Genomic DNA, 26,547 nt, shown 5'->3' with positions numbered 1-26,547 from the left:
CATCTTGTAAAAAGTTAATATGTGGTGAGTTTGAGTTTTTTTCCTCAACTCTCCATTTCAAACAGAAACCAGAACACTTCTGTGCATGTTTGACCCCATGCAGAACCCGTTTTCTTTGTTTTTCTATGATATGGATGACTTCCATTATTCTCAAACTTAGTTACTAACTTACTGATTTGCCTTTATTGAAAAGAACACAATTATTTACAGTGAACACCTTCTTAGAAAATCTGGAACATAAGGTTGCCATAATTATACACACTTTGTGGTCTTTAAGATATATTCTCAGGGTGACATGAACATGTCAGAGTATAAACATTTTTAGAATTCTTGATGTCTGGTGCCAACTTTTTCCAAAAGGGCTGCACCAATTTACTCTTTTCTTAGCAATGTATCAGTACACGTACCTGTAATAGTGCAAATGTGCCCTCAGTGAGGATCAACATTTTAAAAGTTTTTTTTTAAAACAAACAAGCAAACAAACTGAATTTGGTGGTTACAAAATGGTGACTTATTAAATCTACTGATCACTAGCTGGATTGAAAAAAATTTTTATTTTGCATATTTGTGTATTATGAACTGGCTACATCATAAGAAATGATGGTTTATTTACTTAACTTAGGTTAACTCTTTTCTATCAAATAAAGTGATTTACAGGTTTTTGTCACTGTTTTAAGCATGGGGAAAATGTGTATCAGTTTTGACTGGGGTTTAGGTTAGATTTTGGCTAATTGTAACAGTCGTTTACCTTTCTTTTAATTTTTCTTTTAAAGATGAAAGATCTCTCAACCCATATATTGTCTTCTGGCCAACTACAAAATGTTTCCTTACGAGAAGAAATTGTGAATTAAATAGATTTTTAGAAAATTTAATTTAATTTAATTTTTTTTTTTTTTTTGAGATGGAGTCTTGCTCTGTCGCCCAGGCTGCAGTGCAGTGGCACAATCTCGGCTCACTGCAACATCTGCCTCCCGGGTTCAAGCAATTCTTGTGCCTCAGCCTCCTGAGTAGCGGAATTACAGGCGCACGCCACCATGCCCTGCTGATTTTTGTATTTTTAGTAGAGATGGGGTTTCACCATGTTGGTAAGGCTGGCCTCAAACTCCTGACCTCAGGTGATCCGTCCGCCTCGGCCTCCCAAAGTGCTGGGATTACAGGCGTGAGCCACCGCTCCTGGCCAGTAGATTTTTTTTTTGAAACTATAATTTTTCTTTTAATTAAATAGAGCAGGGTCTCACTGTGTTACCCAGGCTGGTCTTGAACTCCTGGCCTCAAGTGATTCTCCTGCCTTGGCTTCCTAAAGTACTAGGATTACAGGCATGAGCCACCACACCTTCCTGTGAATTAAACAGATTGTATTGGTCTGGGTTATAATGATAAACTGTTCAGTTTCAGGCTGGGCATGGTGGCTCATGCTTGTAATCCCAGCACTTTGGGAGGTCGAGGTGGGCAGATCGCTTAAGCTCAGGAGTACAAGAGCAGCTTGGGCAACATGGTGAAAACCCATCTCTACTAAAATACAAAAAAAAATTAGCCGGGTGTGGTGGTGCCTGCCTGTGATCCCAGCTACTCAAGAGGCTGAGTCACTAGAATCGCTTGAACCTGGGAGGCGGAGGTTGCAGTGAGCTGAGATCGTGCCACTGTACTCCTGCCTGGGCAACAGAGTGAGACCATGTCTCAAAAACAAAACAGGCCAGGTGTGGTGGCTCACGCCTGTAATCCCAACACTTTGGGAGGCCAAGGTGGCCGGATCATGAGGTCAAGAGATCGAGACCATCCTGGCCAACATTGTGAAACTCTGTCTCTAATAAAAATAAAAAAATCAGCTGGGTGTGGTGGTGCACGCCTGTAGTCTCAGCTATTCAGGAGGCTAAGGCAGGAGAATTGCTTGAACCTGGGAGGCGGAGGTTGCAGTGAGCCGAGATCGCGCCACTGCACTCCAGCCTGGCGACAGAGTGAGACTCCATCTCAAAAAACAAAAACAAAAACGAAACAAAACAAAACACTTCAGTTTCTGGAATCTTATGGCTCATACCTGCTCCTTTCTAAATGTTCCATGTGTTAATCAAAAGAGATTATGTCAAACAGATTTTTTCTTCAGTATTTCTTGCATTCACGATCAGTTAGGACACTTATTCTATAGTAAGAATTAGAAGATTGCCTTCTTATTTCAAGTATGGGGGGCACACATCATAGGTCATTTGGAACAGGAGAGATGAAAGGGATGAAACATCTCTGTGTATTGTGCTGGACCGGTGGAAGACTTCAACTTGAGAGCCGTGTCGAGTCTGGTCGAGTCTGCTTTCCTGTTATTGTTCCACACCTTTCCTGCTCTCCTCTCCAAGATGAAAGTCTTCAGAGTGGGCTTCTAAAGAAAAGAACTTTGCCTGAACCTGTCCATTTGCTCCGTTGCCACACTACTTGATTGTCTCTAATTATTGTTGCAATTTAGTTTCAGTTGCAATCATAGAGGCATGGAGGAGGTGGAAAATTATTTAGAAATGATCAAGAAGTGAATCCCACATCCTCTGAAACTGCTGGTAATGTTGTTTTGCTTCTCTGTTTGCATTAACTTCAGAAAAACACAAAAGCAGTGAAGGGTATGTAGGGGATTTCTATGACTCCTCATTATCCAGGATAGCGTGACATTGTATATTTCTGCTTTTATGGTAGTGAGATGGTTATTAGCTGCTTTCTTTAGTGACTGAATTTTATAGTAAGGGCCAGGATAATACCTTCCTTATCCAAGTCTTTATATTTTCCACCTTTTCTTTTCTTTCTTTTTTTTTTTTTTTTTAAGATGGAATCTCGCTCTGTCACCAGGCTGGAGTGCAATGGCGCAATCTCAGCTCACTACAACCTCCAACTCCCTGGTTCAAGCAAATCTCCTGCCTCAGCCTCCCAAGTAGCTGGGATTACAGGTGCATGCCACCATGCCCAGCTAATTTTTGTATTTTTGTTAGAGACAGGGTTTCACCGTGTTGGCCAGGATGGTGTCTATCTCCTGACCTTGTGATCTGCCTGCCTCGGCCTCCCAAAGTGCTGGGATTACAGGTGTGAGCCACCGCACCTGGCCTTCTTTTTTCTTTGAGACAGTCTTGCTGTGTCGTCCAGGTTGGAGGGCAGTGGCGTGATCTTGGCTCACTGCAACCTCTGCCTCCTGGGTTCAGGCATTTCTCATGCTTCATCCACCTGAGTAGCTGGGATTATAGGCATGTGCCACTGTACCTGGCTTATTTTTACATTTTTATTTTATTTTATTTTTCAGACAGGGTCTTGCTCTATTGCCCAGGCTGGCATGCAATGGCATAATCTCAGCTCTCTTAACCTCTGCCTCCCAGGTTCAGGCAGTTTACCTGCCTCAGCCTCCTGAGTAGCTGGGATTACAGGCGGGCACCACCATGCCTGGCTAATTTTTGTATTTTTAGTAGAGATGGGATTTTGCCATGTTGGGCAGGCTGGTCCCAAACTCCTGGCCTCATGTGATCTGTCCACCTCGGCCTCCCAAAGTGCTGGGATTACCGATGTGAGCTACTGCGCCTGGCCAGTTTTTGTATTTTTAGGAGAGACGGTGTTTCACCATGTTGGCCATGCTGGTCTTGAACCCCTGAGCTCAAGGAATATGCCTGCCTTGGCCTCCCAAACTGCTGGGATTACAGGTATGAGCTCCCGCACTTGGCCATTTTCTACCTTTTCTTGAGTCTTCAAGGCTTCTATTTCAGAAGCGTGCCCTTACCTGGCATTGTTAAATCTATGTTGTAATTAGTAGTGTTAGGTATGAATGATGGAATTGGCTAAGGCTATTAAAAAAACCTATTTTCAGTCGGGCTCTGTGGCTCACACCTGTAATCCCAGGCCGAGGCAGGCGGATCACAAAGTCAAGAGATCGAGACCATCCTGGCCAACATGGTGAAACCCCATCTCTACTAAAAATATAAAAATTAGCCAGGCGTGATGGCGCACGCCTGTAGTCCCAGCTACTTGGGAGGCTGAACAAGGAGAATCGCTTGAACCCGGGAAGTGGAGATTGCAGTGAGCCGAGGTCACACCACTGCACTCCCGCCTGGGTGACAGAGTGAGGCTCCGTCTCAAACAAAACAAAACAAAACAAAACAAAAAAAACCCGCCTATTTTGTAGTAATATCACAGATTTCTTTGTTTTTTTTTTTTTCTTTTCTTTTCTTTTCTTTTTTTTTTTTTTGGAGATGGGAATTTTGCTCTTGTTGCCCAGGCTGGAGTGCAGTGGCACAATTTCGACTCACTGCATCCTCCACCTCCCGGGTCAAGCAATTATTCTGCCTCAGCCTCCCAAGTAGCTGGGATTACAGACACCCGCCACCATGCCTGGCTAATTTTTGTATTTTTCTTTTTTTTTTTTGAGACGAAGTCTTGCTGTGTCGTCAGGCTGGAGTGCAGTGGTGCGATCTCGGCTCACTGCAACCTCTGACTCCCTGGCTTAGGTGATTCTCCTGCCTCAGCTTCCCGAGTAACTAGGATTACAGGTACACGCCACCATGCCCAGCTCAGTTTTGTATGTTTAGTACAGACGGGGTTTCACCATGTTGGCCAGGATGGCGTCTATCTCCTGACCTCGTGATCCACCCACCTCGGCCTCCCAAAGTGCTGGGATTACAGGCATGAGCCACTGTGCCTGGCCAATTTTTGTATTTTTAGTAGAGACGGAGTTTCACTATGTTGGCCAGGCTGGTTTAGAACTCCGAACCTCAGGGGATCCACCTGCCTCGGCCTCCCAAAGTGTCAGAATTACAGGTGTGAGCCACTGCATCCGGCTCGCAGATTGGTTTCTATGAGTAGTTTGTAATGGTTTATTCAGTCAACAAGCATGAGTGATCATTTCATACCATGTAGTCCCTGTTGTCACCGATGCTTTGAGTCTAGAAGGAGGAGACAAACATGGCAGCAAGCTGTGAAGGAGCGTGTCACAGTAGATGTGGCAGGTGTGTGCATGAAAAATGTAGGTAAACCAAGGAGAGCAGTGCCAGTTCCACTGGCGCTGGGATGGCACTGGATTGGCCAGGGGAGAGTTTGTAGAGGAGCTGGCCCTTGGGCTGGATTGTGAAAGATGAGTTAGTGCCAAGTAGGAGAACATTGCAAAGAAGTATATATCAAAGCAAAGAGAATGAGAGGACAGGAGGTGTGAAGCAGTTTCGCCACTTGGGGAGCTACAAATGGTTCTTTGTGCCTGGAGAGTAGGCTGTGAGCAGAGGGAGGAGGCCAGAGGCAGGGTTAGAGAAATGGGGGACAGTTATGGGGGGCTTCAGTATGTGTTGTTACACAGGACTTATTCTGTGGGACACGGAGCTATGAGAGGGTTTAAACCAGGGATATTTTATGCTGATTATTTTGCTTTTTTTTTTTTTGAGACATAGTCTTGCTCTGTTGCCTAGGCTGGAGTGCAGTGGCGTGATGTCAGCTCACTGCAACTTCTGCCTCCTGGGTTCAAGTGATTCTCGTGCCTCAGCCTCCTGAGTAGCTGTGATTACAGGCATGTGCCACCACACCTGGCTAGTTTTTGTATTTTTAGTAGAGACTGGGTTTTGCCATGTTGGCCAGGCTGGTCTTGATCTCCTGGCCTCAAGTGATTTGCCAACCTCCATCTCCCAAGGTGCTGGTGTGAGGCACTGCGCCCGTTCTTTTTTTTATTTTTATTTTTTATTTTTGCCAAGAGGGGGAAGGGAGAGAGAAAGGAAGCAGGTGGAGGCAAGGAGAGGGAGAAGCAGAGCATTCTGTTGCATTTTAGAAAGATTCTTCTGACTTAGTGTGGCTCAGATTGGCAGTGGAGAGACCCTTAAGGAATTTTTGGAGATAGGTGAGCTAGGTGATGAGGGCTTGAATTCAGGCTGTGGGAGTAGGAGGTAGGAGAGAAAAAATACAGGACCAGTGAAGGACATGAAATTGATGGATTTGGTTGCCAGTGTTTGGGAGGGACATAGCATTGAAAGGAGATGAAAGAGACAGGGTGACGAAGGTGAGCACCAGGTTTCTGTCTTTGGATGACTGCTTGGAGAGTTTCCATACTGAGAATAGGACTTCGGTTTTGGACGTAATCTCTGGAGTTTTGTGGTACTTGTACAGTGTCCACTTTGAGAGACCCATTTAAATAGTTGAATTTGAACCTGCAACTCCAGAGATGATCAACGCAGGAGTGGGAGTGGAACCCAGGGAGTGGGTGATGCCACGGGCTGATTGAGGAGTCCAAGGATGTCGTCTTGGAATACCACCACTGAAGGGCTGGGTAGAGGAAGAGATCTGAAAGGGAAACTTTGAAGGCAAATGTATATAACTCTTCAGGTAACTAGATGGTAAATGGAAAGAGAGAGAGGGCAGGAGCTGGAAGTTGCAGAGTGGAGAGCTTTTTGTATTTTTCTGGGGGATATTAAGAGTATTTATAGACTCCTTTTTATACCTTTGGACAATGATTCCGAGCCAGTCTTGAATGAAAACATTCATATGTGATGTGTTGTAAACCTCCAGGACGATCGGTCTCACATTTCATTTTGTCTGTTCTGGCTTCTGTACACAGCAGCTGCAGACTATATGTGTTTTTGAAACCTGTTTAACTTCCTTTCTTTTGTGTTCTCTAATTCTCTGAAATATTATTTCCAACAGCCCTAAGATTGAAATTAAGAGAACGTTTGAATCTTAGCTGCATTCTGGCATTTTCAAGTGCTTCCTGCACATTTCCCCTTGGATATCCCATCATTGTCCAAGATTCAGCATGTCCGAGACTTGCTCCTGGCCCTTTCATTCTGGTGTTACCTCTAGACCTCTCTAATTTTTAAACTTTTATCACCATTCACTTATCACTGCAATCATTATGGCTTGAAAAAAACACTGGATTCTTTTTCTTGCCATTTAAATTGTTTCCCATCTATCCAACCATCCGTTTGTTCATCTATTCAACCATCCGTTTATTCATCTATTCAACCATCCATTTGTTCATCTATTCATCCATTTGTTCATCTATTCATCCGTTTGTTCAGACTTTTTAAATTCTTTGTGTCAGGGTATTTGCTTTATGCTCAGGCTGTGAAGAATTTTAAGATATAGGCCCTGCTTTCCAGAAGCTCACAGTGTAGGGCGGTTCACGTGGAAATTTGCTATGGTGGAAATACCAACAAATGCTATGGGAGCCTGGGGACTTTCAGCTTTCACTGTGTTCTGAGTGAGATGTACTTTAAAAAAAATGGTTTTAAAAAATTTAGACATGGGGATTCACTATGTTGATCAGGCTGGTCTTGAATTCCTGGCCTCAAGCAGTCTTCCCATCTCGGACTCCCAAAGTGCTGGGATTACAGGCGTGAGACACCATGCCCGGCTGAGACGTACTTTTGAGCAAACCCAACAGGCAGTTACCTACTGGGATGAAGTGAGATGGGAACATGCCAGAGTAGGTGTCACTGCTCTAGCTGTTCCCACACTAGCAGTTAACTGCTTGCTGCACATGAAGTTCATTGCTGAACATTTTTCGTAAGTTCTCATTGAACCCTCACAGTTACCCTGTGGGTGGCAACAAATACTGTACTGATTTTATAGGTGAGGAAATGGAGAAGTAGAGAGATTCTAAAGGGACATAGCTGCTGAGTGGTTGAGCTGGCACCACAAGCTAGATTTCTCAGGCTCCATGCACAGGCCATGCTTTGAATGGGCTTTTTCTATACTGGCTGCTCATTCACACCCCCCTCTTCATTTTTATGTCTTGTACTTTTACATACCTTATATGCTATTTATGTCTTTTCATTGTTTTTTCTTTTTCTCAGACCTCTCAGAGATGAATTTATGTACTTTCTAAACGTTCTTTCTTCTGGGAGTGGATACAGAGTTTTGTATCTTGATATAGTTTGGACAGAGTTTTGGTTAAACCTGTGTTGCTGGTTATTAAACACATTTACATTGAAAGAGCCATTGTTAATCTTAGGGTTGAAATTTGAGGAGTTTGTAGGATCATGCAGTAAAGGCAGTATCTTTTTCCTTAATCCCCCGGGTAGCATTTAGTTTAGGGGCTGCTGTTTCCTTCCAGGGACTCTGGTAAACTGGGTTTGATGTTGTGGCAACAAGAATTACTCAGCCTGGCCTTTGATGATTCCCTGGAGCCAGAACATGTTTTGTGGTTGGGCCACTAGAATTTATGAGAAATCCAGGTAACCAGGTAAAGGTTAACGAATCTTACTGAGCTTGTCTCTCAGCCATTTTCAGGGGTCTTTTCATGGCTTCTCTTAGCCTTTTTGCCCTTTATGACTAAATAAAAAGGCTGCTGAAAGAACTCATTTAACAGTGAGACAGGAGAACACTAGCAGAATAATGTTTCTTCCAGGGAGTTACAGAGCAGCTCCCAGAGTCTTCCTGCCCGAAGTCCTGACTTGGAAGCTTTGTCTCCTGCTAGAGGAGGGGCTGGCTTTTTTTTTTTTTTTTTTTTTTCTGTAGAGATGGGATCTCACTATGTTGCCCTGGCTGGTCTCAAACTCCTGGGCTCAGACGATCCTCCCACCCCCAAAGTGCTGGGATTACAGGTTTGAGCCACCGTGCACAGCCTAAGGCTGGTTTTTGACAGGGCCTCATTGGAATGTGAGTACTGTGGTAGGGTCACCAAGGATCTCAAGACAAGACCCTCTAGCTTTGCAGGTTCAAAAATAGACTTTAGGACTTGGATTTGTGCCACTTTATTCATGCTATTGCAGGATTTAAAAAAAATCAAGTTGTGATCATTTGCCTGCTCTCAGCTCAGCTGTGGACTCTGGTTCTTGGGGAGCACATCCAGGGAGCCCTGGAAACACCACTGTCTTGTGCTGTGGCACCTCTTGGTGTTTGTCTTCTGGGGGACCATCTGGGGGACCATCCTGACTAAACCTTCTGTTTAGTCAGGACAGCAAACTGACAATAAAATAGAGTCAGATACAGCTTTTGAGGGCTTGCCATTTGTTTTGCTTGGCATTGAAACCCTCTTGGACTTCTGAATAGCCCACTTCAGGCTTGTCTCCTCTACTCCACACTGGCTTTTACTGATTTATTGAAGACGGAGACTTCTTCAACTTGTTCTCTAACTTTGACAAAGACTTCTGCGATTTCTCTGTGTCCAGACTGCAGTGACAAAGCATGGAGGAAATTAAATTCTAAAAAGATTTTTAGAATTATAATTGAAATATTTATTTTATGGGTTTATGATATCCCAAAAGAAATAGGGATTCCAACCTAGACTTTGGGGTCTACCTTTAGAAGGAGCCCCGTTTTCTGGGTGTGTTCCATGGTCCACTGAGGAAGGCTTCTCTTTGAGTCTACTGATGCCTCAGGGAGGGCCTCCCGGTGATCCTGCTCCTGTTCCTTGGGACCCATCAGGGATACCCATGCCCCTCTGCTCATGCACTCAGCAAACTCCTTGCGGTGCTTGGTACACACCAGGCACGCTCCCCAGCTCGGGCCTTTCTCCAGCTATTCACTGTGCTAGGGATGCTTTTCCTCCAAATAACCTCATGCTCAGTTCCCGCACTCTCTCGACAAGACTTCCCCTGTTTGCTTGAGCAGCCAGTGCCCCCCTCCTCTCTGCTTGCCACCCTTACCCTGCTTGACTCCCAATAATGCTCATCCCCCGGGAACCTACTCATTATGTTTATTACGCATGGTCAGTCTTCTCCAGCTGAAGTGGAAACTCCACAAGGCAGGAATCTTCATCCCTTTTGTTACTCTCCCCTATCCCATGTGCATGCCAGAAACAGGGCCTGGCACATTGTAGGCTCTCAGAGCTTGTTGACTGAATCATTAAATCCATGCTCCCCCACTCCCTCTGCTTTTGATATAGAAACAAAGGTCACTGAAATTGCTCATGGAAACTTGGGAGTTGCAGTTAAAATAGATCCCTCTTACCTCGTGCATACATCTAATTTCATTCTTCCATTATTTTGGGGTTTATATATAAGCCTGGTTCTTGCTGAAACTGCTTATGTTGATAACCAGTTAGTGAGTTCCTCACTGTTGACTTGCTGGGAAGTTTATAGAGACATTTTTTATGCATTCAGAGATTTCAGTACAAATCTTGAAAAAGGGACATTTAGGCCGGGCGCGGTGGCTCACATCTGTAACCCTAGCACTCTGGGAGGCTGAGGTGGGTGGATCATGAAGTCAAGAGATAGAGACCATCCTGGCAAAAATTAGCTGGGCGTGGTGGGGTGCGCCCGTAGTCCCAGCTACTCAGGAGGCTGAGGCAGGAGAATTGCTTGAACCCAGGAGGCGGAGGTTTCATTGAGCCGAGATAGTGCCACTGCACTCCAGCCTGGACAACAGAGCAAGACTGTGTCTTAAAAAAAAAAAAAAAAGACATTTAGATGGAAATATTATTTTATGGTATTAGTTGTGAGCTTATAAAAAGAAGAAAATGATTATTCTATGTTTTGTTTTTTCTTTGAGACAGACTCTCGCTCTGTCACCCAGGCTGGAGTGCAGTGATGGGATCTTGGCTCACTGCAACCTCTGCCTCCCGGGTTCAAGCGATTCTCCTGCCTGAGCCTCCCGAGTAGCTGGGACTGCAGGCGCACACCACTGTGCCTGGCTAATTTTTTTATTTTTGGTAGAGACAGGGTTTGGCCATGTTGGCCAGACTGGTCTCAAACTCCTGACCTCAAGTGATGTGCCTATCTCAGCCTTCCAAAGTGTTGGGATTACAGGCGTGAGCCACTGCGCCTGGCCTATTCTATGTTTGAAAGATGAGTGTAGCAAATAAATTCTTTAAGAGGAGGCTAGCATACTTTCCCCCTTATCCATGGTTTCACCTTCCATGGTTTCAATTATCTGCAGTTAGCTGTGGTTTGAAAATATGTGAGTATAGTACAAGGAAATATTTTGAGAGACTACATTCACGTAACTCTTATTACAGCATATTTTATAGAACAACTTATTGTTCTTTATTATTTATTATAATGTTCTTTATTATTAGTTTATTATTAATCTCTGCCTACTTTATAAATTTTATCATAGGTATGTATGTATAGGAACAAACATGTTGTATATAGGGTTCACTACTATTTGTGGTCTAGGCATCCGTGGGGGGTCTTGGAAAGTATCCCCTGTGGATAAGGAGGGACTACTCTATAACCTACAGTAAGGTGATTTGTGGTGTGAATCCACTTTATTCTAGGAAGTATTAAGGTGTTTGACAAATGTGTATATAAATGTGTGTATCTTGAGAGGGATTAAAAGTCTTTTTTTTTTTTTTGGCACGGCCTCGGCTCACTGCAACCTCTGCCTCCTAGGTTTAAGCGATTCTCCTGCCTCAGCCTCCCAAGTAGCTGGGACTACAGGCATATGCCACCACTCCTGGCTAATTTTGTATTTTTAGTAGAGACAGGGTTTTACCACGTTGGCCAGGCTGGTCTCGAACCCCTGACCTCAGGTGATCCACATACCTCTTCCTCCCAAAGTGCTGGGATTACAGGCGTGAGCCACCGTGCCTGGCCAAAAGTCTTTTTTTGAGATTAAAAACATCCAGAAAGCAGCCGGACGGACATTTCCATTGTATTAGTTTCCTGTTGCTGCCATAACAAATTATCACAAATTTAGTGGCTTAAGACAATATACATTATTATCTTACAGTTTGGAGGCCAGAAGTCTGGAATGGGTCTCACTGGGCCAAAATGTATTTCAGCAGGGTTGTGTTTCTTTCTGGAGGCTCTAGGGAAAGATCTACTTCCTTACCTTTCCAGCTTCTAAAGGCTGCCCACACTCCTTGGCTCTTAGCTCCTTCCTGCATCTTCAAAGCCAGCAGTGGCTGATTGAGTCTCACCTCTCATCACTCTGACACTGATTGTCCTGCCTCCCTCTTCCATTTGGAAGAATCCGTGTGCCCACTTGGATACTCTAGGATAATCTCCCTCTTCTAAAGTTGGCTGATTAGGAGATGTAATTCCATCTGCAATCTTAATCCCCTTTTGCCATGGAATTTAACATGTTCACAGGTTCCAGTGATTAGGACATGTATATCTTTGGGACCATTATCCTGCCGACTACATCTATACATCTACCTTAGTGCCTTTGCCCATGGAATGTTTCTTGTGAGAATGGGCAGTTTAATCCTTCCTGCATATCATTTTCTTCTTATGGAAGTGTGCCTCATGGGTATTAAGTATTGCAGTACTTTGTAGACTTTGTCTGACTTCGTGAAGCATTTCTAGTTTTAGAAGAGTGCTCCTAATTCAAAGGTAGGGGAAGGCATGTGCAAAAAAGCCGCCCTTTCCACTCTATATTCTGCTGATCAGCAACACTATTTGTCATCAAATTACCGGAACAGAGACTATCTTGAGTCAGAAGGTTATGTTGTTGCTCTCTGTTCTTAGGAATGTTTTTGTACTCTGAGAGTAAAGATAATTTTTCCTGTTGTCAGGTAATGGAAATGTCCCTGAACAATGGACCTTGATAGGAAAAAGAAGTTTATTATTCTAGAAGATGTTGGCACAACATTATTTGGTAATTATTTTTCCAGAAATCTGCTGTTTTCCCCCATGTCACATGATGGACACCTCATTGTATGGAGGAAGCAGGCCAGATGCTGTTACTCTTTCAAACGTTTATGTTAAAGGCTCATTTGGTTTAATTTCCACTCAGAATAGATGTTAAGGATACAAAACCAAATGTCTAGCTGACTACTACTGTTCTTTCCCTTTCCTGCTCTTGCTTTGGACTACTGTTTTCTCAAACGTATAAATGTGTGTGTATAGCATTCTAATAAGAGGAATTTAAGCTTTAAAAAGTTTTTAAAAATAACACTCTTTTTTTTTTGTTTTTGAGACGGAGTCTCGCTCTGTCCCCCAGGCTGGAGTGCAGTGGCGTGATCTCGTCTCACTGCAAGCTCCGCCTCCCGGGTTCACGTCATTCTCCTGCCTCAGCCTCCCAAGTAGCTGGGACTACAGGTGCCCGCCACCACGCCCGGCTGATTTTTTGTGTTTTTAGTAGAGACGGGGTTTCACCGTGTTAGCCAGGCTGGTCTGGATCTCCTGATCTCGTGATCCGCCCGCCTCGGCCTCCCAAAGTGTTGGGATTACAGGCGTGAGCCACCGCGCCTGGCCCCTGCCTCTTGATTTTTAAAGAGGTTTTAATAAGCTTTGAGTAGTGTGAGTGCTTTTAGTTCCCTGTATTATCACGTTCCCAAGGTCAATTGATTTTAACACAAAAATAGGTTACACATCACCCCATTCCAGCCTAGAGCAGGACTAGAAAAAGCAGTTCCTGTGAGAATTAGTTCCCCTTGGAGATCTGAAACTTGAAATCTGAAAACAAGAACCTCTTGAGTTGGGACTCAGAAGGTGGGGAACTGCTGTTGTGTACCAGAATGTGTGCACAAGGGTGTTTATTGTAGCATTGCTATGTGACTGAAAACTTGGAAATCGCGAGGCTGGGCGCGGTGGCTCACACCTGTAATCCAGCACTTTGGGAGGCCGAGGTGGGTGGATCACAAGGTCGGGAGTTCGAGACCAGCCTGACCAACATGTTGAAACTCTGTCTCTACAAAAAATACAAAAATTAGCCGGGTGTGGTGGTGCATGCCTGTAGTCCCAGCTACTCAGGAGGCTGAGGCAGGAGAATCACTTGAACCCGGGAGGTGGGTATCCCATTTATCAAGAAAATATATAGAGACTGTCTCTGACTTATGGTTGACTTTACGATGGGTTTATTGGGAAGTAACCCCATTGTAAGTTGAGGAGCATCTGGGATATATTTTGATTTTGAGAAGTGATGTCATCAGACTTACTTGATACCTGTAACTTTTAGAAAGATAAGTATATGATGCTTTTTGTGTAAAATTACTTTTTCACTTCTATTTAAAAGTCTTAAGTTCTGTTGTAATGCGATTTTTGATTTTCTAGTGTTTAGAAAAGAGGGTTTTAAGATAGTAGAATGTTGTTGCTTTCTTTTAAACTATATATATACATATATATACATATATATGTATGTGTATATATATATACATATATATATACATATATATGTATGTATATATATATATACATATATATACATATATATGTATATATATATACATACATATATATACATATATATATGTATGTATATATATATACATATATATATGTATGTGTATATATATATATATACACATATATATATGTATGTGTGTGTATATATATATATATATATATATATATATAAACCTGCTATTTGGATAGAGGCCAGAATTAAAACATCAGTAGTCAAAAGAGGGAATTCAGTGTTTCTTGAGTTTTTAGCTTTATATGTCTAAATTTGTAAAATTCAACCATGTATTTTCCGTTCCACATGGGCACCTTTTGCAATTGTGGTAGCAGATGTCCTAGGCAGATGAACATGCAGAAGTGGTTTGTTTAGCCTTCCCTTTTAAAGTTCGTAATCTAGTAAATTTGGGTTAGAATGGTGGTTCCCATACTTGACTAACCCGCAGAATCCCTGGAGGAATCTTTCAAAAAAGCCATTTATTCTGGTTCCTTACTCTAGCCATACCAAACGTACCAGGGCAGATCCAGGAATGAGTGAATGAATAAATACGTACATACATGCACATGCTTGTACACACATGCACACAAATATACTTCTAATGCCCCTAAATTTGGGGACCCCAGGTGTGGAAACTCACGCTTCAGAACCTCTAACTGTTCTCTCCAAGGTCACATCACACAGGCAGGCTCTGGCTTGAGTTGGCCTGGCCAGAGATGCTTCCCTTCATTTCCCGTGTTGAGTGTATAAAATGATTTCACAAGAATTTGTGCGTCCATGATTGTAGGAAGGGATGGCTGAGTGTTGAATGCATTTCCTCAGCTGTAACTATCTAATTTATGTGGTTTTGCTTTAAGCCATTCAGTATTCCGCTTGGAGGGTTTTGAACTTACAGAGGTTTTTAAGAAGAGGCTCAACAGATGAAAGAAGCAAGAATAACCAACCTTGGATTTTTGTTTTTACTCCTTTATTATAGCTACCAAGTATATAGCTACCTACCCACTTTAGCTTCCCCATGTGTCTTTGTGTGGTTTTCTGTTTTGTTCCTTTTAAGAGATACCGTCTCTTTATGTTGCAGCTGTTGCTAGGCAGCCAGTGGCCAGGTGCCAGTTTTAGAGCCCTGATCTGTACAACAGTGAGGAAGCAACCTAAAAAGACCCCTTTGCCTACCCCGTTGGATGAAAGAGAGGCTTGGCGCTGGGATGTAGACTGCTAGGCGCATGAGACCTACGAAGAACTGAGGCTGCGTCCACTTACCCAGAGTGTCTTTGGAGAGTACCTTTTAGTCCTTCCTCGGGGCAGTTGCCATATAGTCTGAAAATGAAGCCACCTCAGGCAGTGGGCTTCGATTGGCTACAATTGTGCCCTTCTTACTTTAGCACTTTGGCAAACATTGAGAAAATTATTATTATGGAAATTTTCTTTCTGTTTTGAGACAGGATCTCACTCTGTTGACCAGGCTGGAGTGCAGTGGTGTTGTCATAGCCCACTGCAACCTCGATCTCCTATGCTTAAGCAATCCTCCCACCTCAGCTTCCTGAGTAGCTAGGGCCACAAGCACATGCCATAACTCCGTGGATGCCGAAAGTAGATAACGAGACCTACTGGATCAGAATGAGGCAGATTAGTACACATCGCACAGCAAATAGCAGGAATATCAGCATGAAAGTGCTGGTGCCCCTGACCTCAAGTCTCGTGGGGTGACATGATGGGCCCAGATGATGTCTATGCATGAATTGGGTTTGCCTACAGCTGAGGAACCAAGGACCACCAAGGACTTAGCACTTTCCTTTCTTTTTTTCTTTCTTTTTTGTTTTTTTGAGATGGAGTTTCGAGTTTCACTCTTGTTGCCCAGGCTGGAATACAATGGTGCAATCTCGGCCCACTGCAACCTCCTCCGCCTCCTGGGTTCAAGCAATTCTCTTGCCTCAGCCTAGCGAGTAGCTGGGATTACAGGCATGCACCACCATGCCCGGCTAATTTTTTATTTTTAGTAGAGACGGGGTTTCTCCATGTTTGTCAGGCTGGTCTCGAACTCCTGACCTCGGGTGATCTGCCTGCCTCGGCCTCCCAAAGTGCTGGGATTACAGGCGTGAGCCACCACACCGGGCCTGGGCTTAGCACTTTTTATAGCAAGTGATAGACAGGCCAGGCTTCTTCTCCTCAATGGGGGCATGTCATGCTACAGTCTCCTTGACCAACTTCATGTCGCCAGCTACAAGAAGACAGACCTTGCAGTTTGGCACTCTCAGCAAGGACATGCAGGGATGCTTGGGGCCTCGGCCAAAGGCAGCATGATATAGATGGAGCATAGTTTAATTAATCATCCTGTCTTGTTATTTAGAAGTTTCCACTTTGTTCCTGTAAGAAAGAATCCTGTAACATTCTTGTGGATAAAGTTTTGCTCACATTTCCAGTGATTTTCTTAGGCTAGATTCCTGTAAGTGGACTTACTGGGTTAGGGAGTTTAACTTTGTAGTCTCTTGATATGTACTGCCAAATGGGTTTTCAGAAAGTGTGAATCAGTTTACACCTCATACCAGTATATGATGATACTTGTTAATTTATCCTTCCTGACATTGAATTACTATTTTTTTAAACTTTTTTTTGAATTTTTTTTTTTGAGGCAGAGTCTTGCTCTGTCACCCATGCTGGAGTGCAGTGGTGCGATCTTGGCTCACTGCAACCTCCACCTCCCTGGTTCAAGCAATTCCCCTGCCTCAGCCTCCCAAGTAGCCATGCCTGGCTAATTTTTTTTGTATTTTTAGTAGAGAAGGGGTTTCACCATGTTGGCCGGACTGGTCTTAAACTCCTGACCTCAGGCAGTCTGCCCGCCTCAGCCTCCCAAAGTGCTGAGATTCAGGCATGAGCTACTGCACCCGGCTGAATATTTTTTTAATCTTTTGGGTTGCTGATATAATTAAAATTTTTTCCTGCCTCTCTCAGCATTGGCAGAATGAACTTTGTTCTAAGAACCTCGGCTAGTGTTTACATGTATTAGAATGGGAAAATTATAGCAGCTTCTTTCCCAGGTCGTTTTTTATTCATCTATTCAACAGATACTTATTGAACACCTATAATGAGCTGGACACTCTATGGGCCTTGCAATTTAGACATGAATAGAGTTCTCAGGTACCTTACATTCTAATTAGAAGGAGAACTTTGACCTCTAACCAAGACCTGTTTAATTCATAGGAGGGTTTCTTTTCTTTTTTTTAAACTGCACTCACGGTCATCCCCCCAAAGGATGAGGGTTTCTTAAGTTATGTTGAAAATTCAAACCTTGAGTCCGGGCATGGTGGCTCACGCCTGTAATCCCAGCACTTTGGGAGGCCAAGGCAGGTGGATCACGAGGTCAGGAGATCAAAACCATCCTGGCTAACACAGTGAAACCTTGTCTCTACTAAAAGTATGAAAAAATTAGCTGGGTATGGTGGCGGGCGTCTGTAGTCCCATCTACTCAGGAGGCTGAGGCAGGAGAATGGCGTGAACCCAGGAAGCCTGGGCGACAGAGCGAGACTCCATCTCAAAAAAAAAAAAAAAAAAGAAAAAAAAGAAAAAAATTCAAACCTTGAAATTCCGCCTTGTGAATAATCTTAGTCTAATTTTTGCCATGTTTATTGGAATATAGGCCAGTGGTTGAACTTTGTGTTCCTAACCTCTCAGCATCCTTGTGTCTCCTGGTGATTATGAAGGCTTTTTTTTTTTTAAATGAGATCTTGCTCTGTCACCGAGGCTGGAGTGCAGTGGCATGATCATAGCTCACTGCAGCCTTGACTTCCTCGGCTCAAGTGATCCTCTCACCCCAGTGGTATTTTCTAATAGACATCTGTGTCCCCAAAATGTGTTAAAGACTTTTGAAGATGAGTCCACTCAAATAATGATTTAGTTCTGAATAGACAGATTTTTAAATTCTTTTTTGTTTTTTAGATGGGGTCTCACTGTGTCACTCAGTTCTCTGAAGGACTTCAAATAGCCTCATTAGCAAACTAGGGGTACTAACTGACATTTTCAGCACCTTTAATTGGTGATGATGAGCACATTAATTTCCATTTGTCTATTTGCTGCAGACTTTTCAGGTTCCTTCTCCTTGTTTTAAAAAAATTATTGAGGTATAATTTACATGGAATAAATGGTATCCATTTAAAGTGTACAGTTTGGCTGGGCGCGGTGGCTCATGCCTGTAATCCCAGCACTTCGAGAGGCCGAGGCGAGTGGATCACTTGAGATCAGGTGTTCAAGACCAGCCTGGCCAACATGGTGAAACCCTGTCTCTACTAAAAATACAAAAATTAGCTGGGTGTGGTGGTGGGCGCCTGTAATCCCAGCTACTAGAGTGGCCGTGGCACAAGAATCGCTTGAACCCAGGGTGTGACGGTTGCAGTGAGCTGAGATCACGCTGCTGCACTCCAGCCTAGGTGACACAGCAAGACTCTGTCTCAAAAAAAAAAAAAATAAAAATAAATAAATAAATAAATAGTGTACAATTTGATGGGATATATTCAGCAGTTTTGTACACCAGTGAAACCACTATCACAATAAAGCACAATATTTTCTTGACCTGAAAAAGATGCTTCATGGCCCTTTTTGTTTTGTTTTTCTTTTTTTGTTTTGTTTTTTTTTTGAGGCAGTGTCTTGCTCTTTCTCCCAGGCTGGAGTGTGGTGGCATGAACACAGCTCACTGCAACCTCAACCTCTTGGGCTCAAGCAGTCCTTCCACCTCAGCCTCCCAAGTAGCTGGGACTACAGGCTTGCACCACCATGCCCAGCTAATTGTTTATTTATGTTGCCCAGACTGGTCTTGAGCTTCTGGGCTTAAGCAGTCCCCCTGCCTCAGCCTCCCAAAGTGCTGCCACCGAGCCTGGCCGCCGCTTCATGTCCTTTTGCTGTCCATTCCTCCCTCTACCCCGGCCCCAGGCAACCACTGATCTGGTTTTTGTGACTACAGATGAGTTTGTATTTCCTAGAATTTTATGTAAGTGAAATCATACAATGTTACAATGTATATTCTGTGTCTGGCTTTCTTTCCTTTTTTTTTTTTTTAAATAAACCCACTGCCAACATCATACATGTCTGGCTTTTACTCAGAATGATGTGTTTGAGGCTGGGCGTGGTGGCTCACGCCTGTAATCCCAGCACTTGGGAGGCCGAGGCGAGCGGATCACTTGAGATCAGGAGTTCGAGACCAGCCTGGCCAACATGGCTGTCTCTGCTAAAAATACAGAAAGCTACTCTGGAGGTGGAGGCAGGAGAATTGCTTGAACCCGGGAGGCGGAGGCTGCAGTGAGCTGAGATTGCGCTATTGCACTCCAGCCTGGGTGACAGAGCTAGACTCTGTCTCAAAACAAATAAATAAATAAATAATATTATGTTTGAGATTCATTGTTGGGGGTATCAGTTGTTCCTTTTCATTGCTGAGTAATGTTCCACTGTATGGCTGCACCACGTTTTTGGTCTCTTCACCTGTTGATGAACATATGAGTTGTTTCCAGATTTGGGCTATTGTGTATAAAACTGCTGGGAACATTCATGTATGAGTCATTATGTGGATATGTTTTCACTTCTCTTGTGTTATACCTACACATGGAATGGCTGGATTGTGTGACAGACCATTTTCCCCTTAAAAATGTTTTATTATATATAAAATATAATAGAGGTTAGTTAGGAATGGAATGTACAAATGATATGTAACTAGTTTCAAAATAAGGCTTAGAAGAGCTTTTATTTAACATAAGTATAATATGCAAAGCAGTTAAAGATTTTTATAAGTATGTTATTTTGCATAAATTTAAAAATGGATTTACCTTAAAAAAGTGACATAAAACTTCAGTCACAAACTAAATGCAAAAATTTATTTTATATTCTTGTACTAAAAATCACAATTTTGGGCTGGGCATGATGGCTCACACCTGTAATTGTAGCATTTTTTGAGGTTGAGGTAGGAGGATTGCTTGAGCCCAGGAATTTGAGACCAGCCTGGGCAACATAGTGACACTCTGTCTCTACAAATAAAAAAGAAAAAAATTAGTTTGGCACGTTGGTGCACACCTGTGGTCCCAGCTACTTGGGAGGCTAAGGTGGGAGGATTGCTTAAACCAGGGAGGTTGAGGCTGCAGTGAGCCAAGATTGCACCACTGCACTCCAGCCTGGGCAACACAGTGAGACCCTGTCTCAGAAAAAAAAAAGAAAACAAAAAACCCCACAATTTTCTATTTCCTTAAAATTGAGGGAAAGTCACGTAAAAACTAGAAGTATAAATTCTTATGGGTGGGCAAATCTGCGTAAGAGGGTTTGTTTTTGAAGCATGGCAGATCAGAGAAGACAGTTGCTCTTGGAAAGTTCTGTCAGCATCACACGCATGCCTTTCCTTTCCGAGTTTATCTAGATGCGCTGCTTCTCAGTAGCCGGTCGCTTTGTCCACGACGGTCCTGACACACAATGTGACATAGCTTCACACAACGGCCACTTTGACCCTCCCTCCCTACTCCACGTGTATCTAGAGGAGAGGATCCTAGCATGCCATCAGCCAGGTGTTTGCAGTACGCTGGATTGATGATGTCATTACCACTCAGTGGTGAATCATTTTAAAAAAGGGGTGAGGTGGGGGACTTCTTATATTTTTTAAGGGATTATTTTAAAAATCATTTTAGAACAATTCTGCAAGGGTTTTTTGGTGTTTGAAGTACTAGACTAGACAACATACTTTGGAACTAAGATTTTAATTAAAGGTTACTCTAAAGAATCAGTGATTGATGTCCCCAGATGAGATAGATGGCAGGAGTTAAAAGTAATTAAAGTTTGCAGAAGTTGGTGTTTTCATAATTGGAGTATGGCAAATCACCTATTTAGTCCATTTAGTACCTTATTATACACTGTCTTCTGTCCTAACTGTTATTACTGCTCAGTTAATGTTTATAATCTACTGTTAGATTCCCTAAGGGCAGTGCACAAACCCCATGTAATTAGGGATGTCAGCAGCCCTCCGATTCTTTGTTGTTATCTTTATTTATTTATTTATTTATTTATTTATTTATTAAGTAGAGATAAGGTCTGACCATGTTGCTCAGGCTGGTCTCAAACTTCTGGGCTCAAGTGATCCTCCCGAAAGTGTTGAGCTAACAGGCATGAGCCACTGCCTGGCCAAGAGCATGAGTCTTCTGGGGAGGTTTGGCACTTGCCTGTGGCACCGGCCTTGTGACTTGTTTTTATTTTTTCTTTCTTTTTTCCTTATAATTAAATTAGAGATAGGGTCTCACTATATTGCCCAGGCTGGTCTAGAACTCCTGGCCTCAAGCAATTCTCCCACCTCAGCCTCCCAACGTGCTAGGATTGAAGGCATGAGCAACCACGCCCAGCCTGACCATTTATTGACAGTCTGTTAGCTGTGCTGGGGTGGCATGAGAGGCTTGCCTCTGATTGTCCTCATGTTCCTGGTGACTCTGGTGCCCCTCTCCCACCCTGCCCTACACTCACTCATACATGTGCCTTAAGACTTTGGGAAAAGGAAGAGTAAACCTTTGGGGGAGATTTGGTAATCCTGAGTGTACTTTTTCTTGCTTTATGTGTTCTTGTGTGTCCTGTTTCCCAAGATTATGAATGTCTTGGCAGGACTAGTCTTGAACTAAACAACAACAAAATTCATGCGTTATAGTACTACCTATGGCTTTGTATTTAATTAGGCATTTTAACATTTTCAGTATCGTATTTAATCTGTATAATCACATTGTGATATGAGGTGTGTGACCTTACTTATATTTACATGGTTAAGATTATAAACTGAAATACGTTGTTGAAGTTCTCTCTCTTGGCCAGGTGCAGTGGCTCACGCCTGTAATCTCAGCACATTGGGAGGCTGAGGCGGGTGGATCATGAGCTCAGGAGTTTGCGGCCAGCCTGGCCAATAATGAAACCCTGTCTCTACTAAAAATACAAAAATTAGCTGTGCGTGGTGGCGCGCACCTGTAGTCTCAGTTACTCGGGAAGCTGAGGCAGAAGAATCACTTGAACCCAGGAGACGGAGGTTGTGGTGAGCTGAGATCACACCACTACACTCCAGCCTGGGTGACGGAGCAAGACTCTGTCTCAAAAAAAAGAAGTTCTCTGTCCTGTCTGAGATGATCGGCAGCATTGTTTATCCCTGTAGCCCTGGTACTCTTTATTGATAGTAGAGATTTTACTCCAATTAGGTACTTTTTAAAGGTAATTTCTATGAAAATCTCTATAAAAATGCTTATTAAAAAACTCCTTTACAGTGGAAAAGAGTAATAACTAACATTTCCCTTTTTCCTCACAAGCTCTAAACCTACTAGAAATAGAAAAAGAAATCTGAACATGGAGATCATATGATCAGCCTTGTAACTGGCGAAGAGAGGGAGATGGAGGAGTCCTTATTTCAAACATCTAGGAAATATGTTGCAAATTAGTAAAATAGGTTAAATTTCTCCGTTTCTTTCCCAGTAATAGGATCTTTGAACTAGACTATTTGAAATTATCATTTGAGGCCGGGCGCGGTGGCTCACGCCTGTTATCCCAGCACTTTGGGAGGCCGTGGCAGGCAGATCATTCGAGGTCAGGGTTTCGAAACCAGCCTGGCCAACATGGTGAAACCCTGTCTCTACTAAAAATACAAAACAATTAGCCGGGTTTGCAGTGAGCCGAGATCATGCCACTGCACTCCAGCCTGGGTGACACAGTGAGACTCCGTCTCAAAACAAAACAAAAAACAAAAAAGATGAAATTATCATTTGATATAACCAATAGCAGAGAGATACCTGTACTCTGATTCCTTCTTCGTTTATGCAGTCAATCCTTGTTATTTGTGGATTTTGTATTCATGAATTTTCCTACTCACTAAAGCTTATTTGTAACCCGCAAATCAGTCCAAAGGTAGTCCTTTCGTGGTCATTTCTGGACATTCACAGAGCAGTGAAAAATGCAGTTTGCTCAGTGTACACATTTCCAGCCACTGTGAAACAAGGTGACTGATTTCTTGTTTCAGCCCTCATACTGTAAACAAATGACCTTTATGTGGTCTATTTAGCATTACATTTTTTTTTTTTTGTATTTTTGTGCCTTTGCTGGTGACTTGCTCTTTAAAATAGCCCCTAATCATAATGCTGAATTTCTGTCTATTGTTCCTAAGTACAAGAGGCCATGATGTGCCTTATGGAGAAAATATAGTATGTTAGCGAAGCTTTGCTCAGGAATGAGTTACAGTGCTGTTGGCCATGAGTTCAATGTTAATGAATCAACAGTTGGCTGGGCATGGTGGCTCACATCTGTAATCCCAGCACTGTGGGAGGCTGAGGCAGGTGGATTGCTTGAGCCCAGGGGTTTGAGACCAGCCTGGGCAACACGACGAAACCCTGTGTCTACTAAAAATAGAGCCCATGTCCCCCCGCCATGCGCCCATGGTTCCAGCTATTCAGGTGGCTAAGGTGGGAGGATTGCTTGAGTCTGGGAGGTAGAGGTTGCAGTGAGCCAGGATGTCACCACTGGACTCCAGCCTGGGTGACAGAGTGAGACCCTGTCTTAAACAAAACAAAACACAACAATATATATTAAATAAGCCATCTTTAAACAGAAACCCATATAAACAAGGTTATGTATTGTTCAGTTGACAAAAGTGTGACCAGAGGTCTGTAGGAACCTAACCTGTATTTCCCCTAGGAGCAACGGTTTAGTCTTTTCCAATTCAGTGTTAGCAATGACTATTTTTGTTTTTTTTTTTTTTGAGATGGAGTCTCGCTCTCTCGCCCAGTCTGGAGCGCATTGGTGTGATCTCGGCTCACTGCAACCTCCACCTCCCGGGTTCAAGCAATACTCCCTGCCTGTAGCTGTAGCTGGGATTACAGGCGCCCACCACCTCACCCATCTAATTTTTGTATTTTTCATAGAGATGGGGTTTCACCATGCTGGCCAGGCTGGTCTCGAACTCTGACCTCGTGATCCACCCGCCTAGGCCTCCCAAAGTGCTGGGATTACAGGCATGAGCCACTGTGCCCGGCAACAGCAACAACTTTTTAAACAATAACTACTTTGAATAGCAAGAATCAGCTATAGCTTAGCCCTCTTCCTACCCCTAAACTTCAGGCTGTGACATCCCAGTGCCACATTTGACATCTCCTGGGGGATACCTACAGGGTCTCTCACAGTTGGCATGGCCACAGCAGAGCCCCTGGTGCTGTGTCCCTCTTTATTCACCCCACCTGAGAAATAGCATATCCGCTCACATAGGTGTTCCCATCAAATGTTTTGAATGTTTTGATATCAGCCTTCCCTTTCTCTTGTTCTGCCTATCCAGTTCATTAGTAGTATGGTTTATTCTACTTCCAAAACGCATCTTGAAGTAATCTGTTTTTCTGCATCTCTGCTGCTGATGTGCTAGTGGAGGCCACTGAATTACTTGCCTGGATGCCACATGAGCTTCCCGTAGCTGATGCCACTCTGTGCACCCATATCTCATGTTCCCTTCCTTCTGGGCACGTGGAGAAGCATATTCTCACCCCCTGGCCATTGATTTGCTATCCTTTTCAGACCCAGAGGGAGCAGGCTAAGAAATATTTTGTGGAATAAGTATGTGGTATTATTTTAGGAGCACTTGGTATTTCTTTGGGTAATAGTAGTTTCTGCAATTTGAGGACTGCTTCTAAACCTGTTAGGAATATTTTTTGAACTGTAAGGGAATTTTTTTTTTAGGGCAGAGAAACATCTGAACAATGTATTAAGTAAAAGCTTGGAGAAAATCTTGGGAAAAAAACACTTCAAAAATAGATTGTTTTAGAGTTCTTTTTTTCTGAAACCACCTGCCTTCTAAAGCAAGATAATTAGATTTTAAACAATGGTTTCTGCTTAGTTAGGTTTTTTTTTATTTTTTTATTTTTATTTGTTATTATTATTTTTTTGAGACAGGGATCTCAATTTGTCACCCAGGCTGGAATATAATGGCATGATCATAGCTTACTGCAGCCTTGACCTGTGGGCTCAAGCAATCCTCCCACCTCAATCTCCTGAGTAGCTGGGACCACAGGCACACCCACCAAACTTGGCTAATTTTTAAATTTTTTTTTGTAGGGGGGATGGAGTCTCAATCTGTCACCCAGACTGGGGTGCAATGGCACAATCTCTGCTCACTGCAACCTCTGACTCCTGGGTTCAAGCAATTCTCCTGTCTCAGCCTCCCGAGTAGCTGGGATTACAGGTGCCTACCACCATGCCTGGCTAATTTTTATATTTTTAGTGGAGACGGGGTTTCGCCATGTTGACCAGGCTGGTCTTGAACTCCTGACCACAGGTGATCTGCCTGCCTTCGCCTCCCAAAGTGCTGGCTGGTCTCAGACTTTTGGGCTCAAGTGATCCTCCCACCTTGGCCTCCCAAAGTGCTGGGATTACAGGTCTGAGCCACTATGCCTGGCCTAGTTTGTTTTTAAATCAATAACAGGTATCAAGAAGTTTGGACTGGCTGACCTTGGTGGTCTTACTGCTGCCACCTTTGCTCTGCCTCACACAGTATGTGGGTGTGTTGGGCCCTTCTCGCAAGCTCCTCTGTCATGTGATGGTTCCGTCTTCAGGGCTGTGGCAGGACCGCGCTGGTTCAGTTTGCTCTGTGTCAGCTGAGTAAAGGATGGGTGGAGTACACCAATTTTGTAACTTGTAACATTTGGTCTTGTGGTTTTGCAAGGAAGGGGTGATATATAATTAGTAAGGCAGGAGAGCAAAGGAAACAGGAAGGGGATCTGCAGTGCTCCTGTATCAAAGTAGATCTCCAAAGCAACAAGGGACAAAAGCAAGCACACTCCTCCCGCCCACCCGTTTTTACTTACTCTTATTTGATCAGAGAACTTTGCTTTCATAAACATCCTTGAATTAAGGCTGGAATTTTTTGGTAAAAATTCCTAACTGAATTTGGTTTAGAAGTATACAGAAAACCCAATGAATTAATTGAATAATCTCCCTTACCCCCTTCTTCAGACAATTCTCCTGTATTCTCTCAAGTAATAAAAGTACTAGAAAGATCAATTGTATTTATCATTAAATGGCTGGTGCTTATAATTTATTCCTTGAATCCAGTTAAACAGTGAGCTTTCCTGATAACCTAGGCATTGTTGTCCCCTACAGTAACCTGGGCCTGTTGGATGTGTAAACATTTTCCTTTGACCCAGGACTGTGTTGAAACTATTTGTTAATCACACAGCAGGATGATCAATACTTACACCAGCTGACGGGACACCTGGCATGACTACTCAGTGATCCAGTAAAACCACGCCAAGCTGGTTCCATAGAGTTTTCATTTTTGATGATAGGACTCGTAGCTCTCAGAATCAGAGAATGTTTAGAGGTGAAACTTACCACAAATGTGGGTCAGCATCTTTAGTTTGTTTCCGGTGTGTGGGGTGCAGTGGCGGACAGTGAGAGAGCCATGTGATGGGAGGAGGCTGCAGAGCTGGACTTTGAATAATGGGTAGGGTTCAGAAAAGTAGAAAATATTGTGAAATTTATTTTATTTTGTTTTTTTGAATGAAGCAACAAAAACAGAGATTTATTGAAAATGAAAGT

At 43.2% G+C, this 26,547-nt stretch overlaps 1 protein-coding gene across 9 annotated transcripts in view, besides 3 other annotated features; it reads left to right on the top strand.

Annotated features, from left to right (window-relative positions):
- CYTH1 (cytohesin 1) overlaps nucleotides 1–26,547 on the top strand; it is a 108,226-nt gene that overhangs the window by 7,747 nt on the left and 73,932 nt on the right. The gene's annotated exons all lie outside the window — the stretch shown is intronic.
- Nucleotides 5,436–5,605: an enhancer, noted in NCBI's record as "experimental_47533 CRE fragment used in MPRA reporter constructs". NCBI's record gives its function as "activates a minimal promoter by MPRAs in K562 erythroleukemia cells, with activity observed for the non-introgressed 17:76765089 variant allele {active_cell/tissue: K562}" and the evidence as "EXISTENCE:reporter gene assay evidence [ECO:0000049][PMID:34662402]".
- Nucleotides 25,424–25,493: an enhancer, noted in NCBI's record as "active region_12909". NCBI's record gives its function as "activates an Ori minimal core promoter by ATAC-STARR-seq in GM12878 lymphoblastoid cells {active_cell/tissue: GM12878}" and the evidence as "EXISTENCE:reporter gene assay evidence [ECO:0000049][PMID:35858748]".
- Nucleotides 25,554–25,613: an enhancer, noted in NCBI's record as "active region_12908". NCBI's record gives its function as "activates an Ori minimal core promoter by ATAC-STARR-seq in GM12878 lymphoblastoid cells {active_cell/tissue: GM12878}" and the evidence as "EXISTENCE:reporter gene assay evidence [ECO:0000049][PMID:35858748]".

Source organism: Homo sapiens, chromosome 17 (assembly GCF_000001405.40).
Source record: "Homo sapiens chromosome 17, GRCh38.p14 Primary Assembly".
NCBI lineage: Eukaryota > Metazoa > Chordata > Mammalia > Primates > Hominidae > Homo > Homo sapiens.
This window is presented reverse-complemented; position numbering and strand designations above follow the sequence as displayed.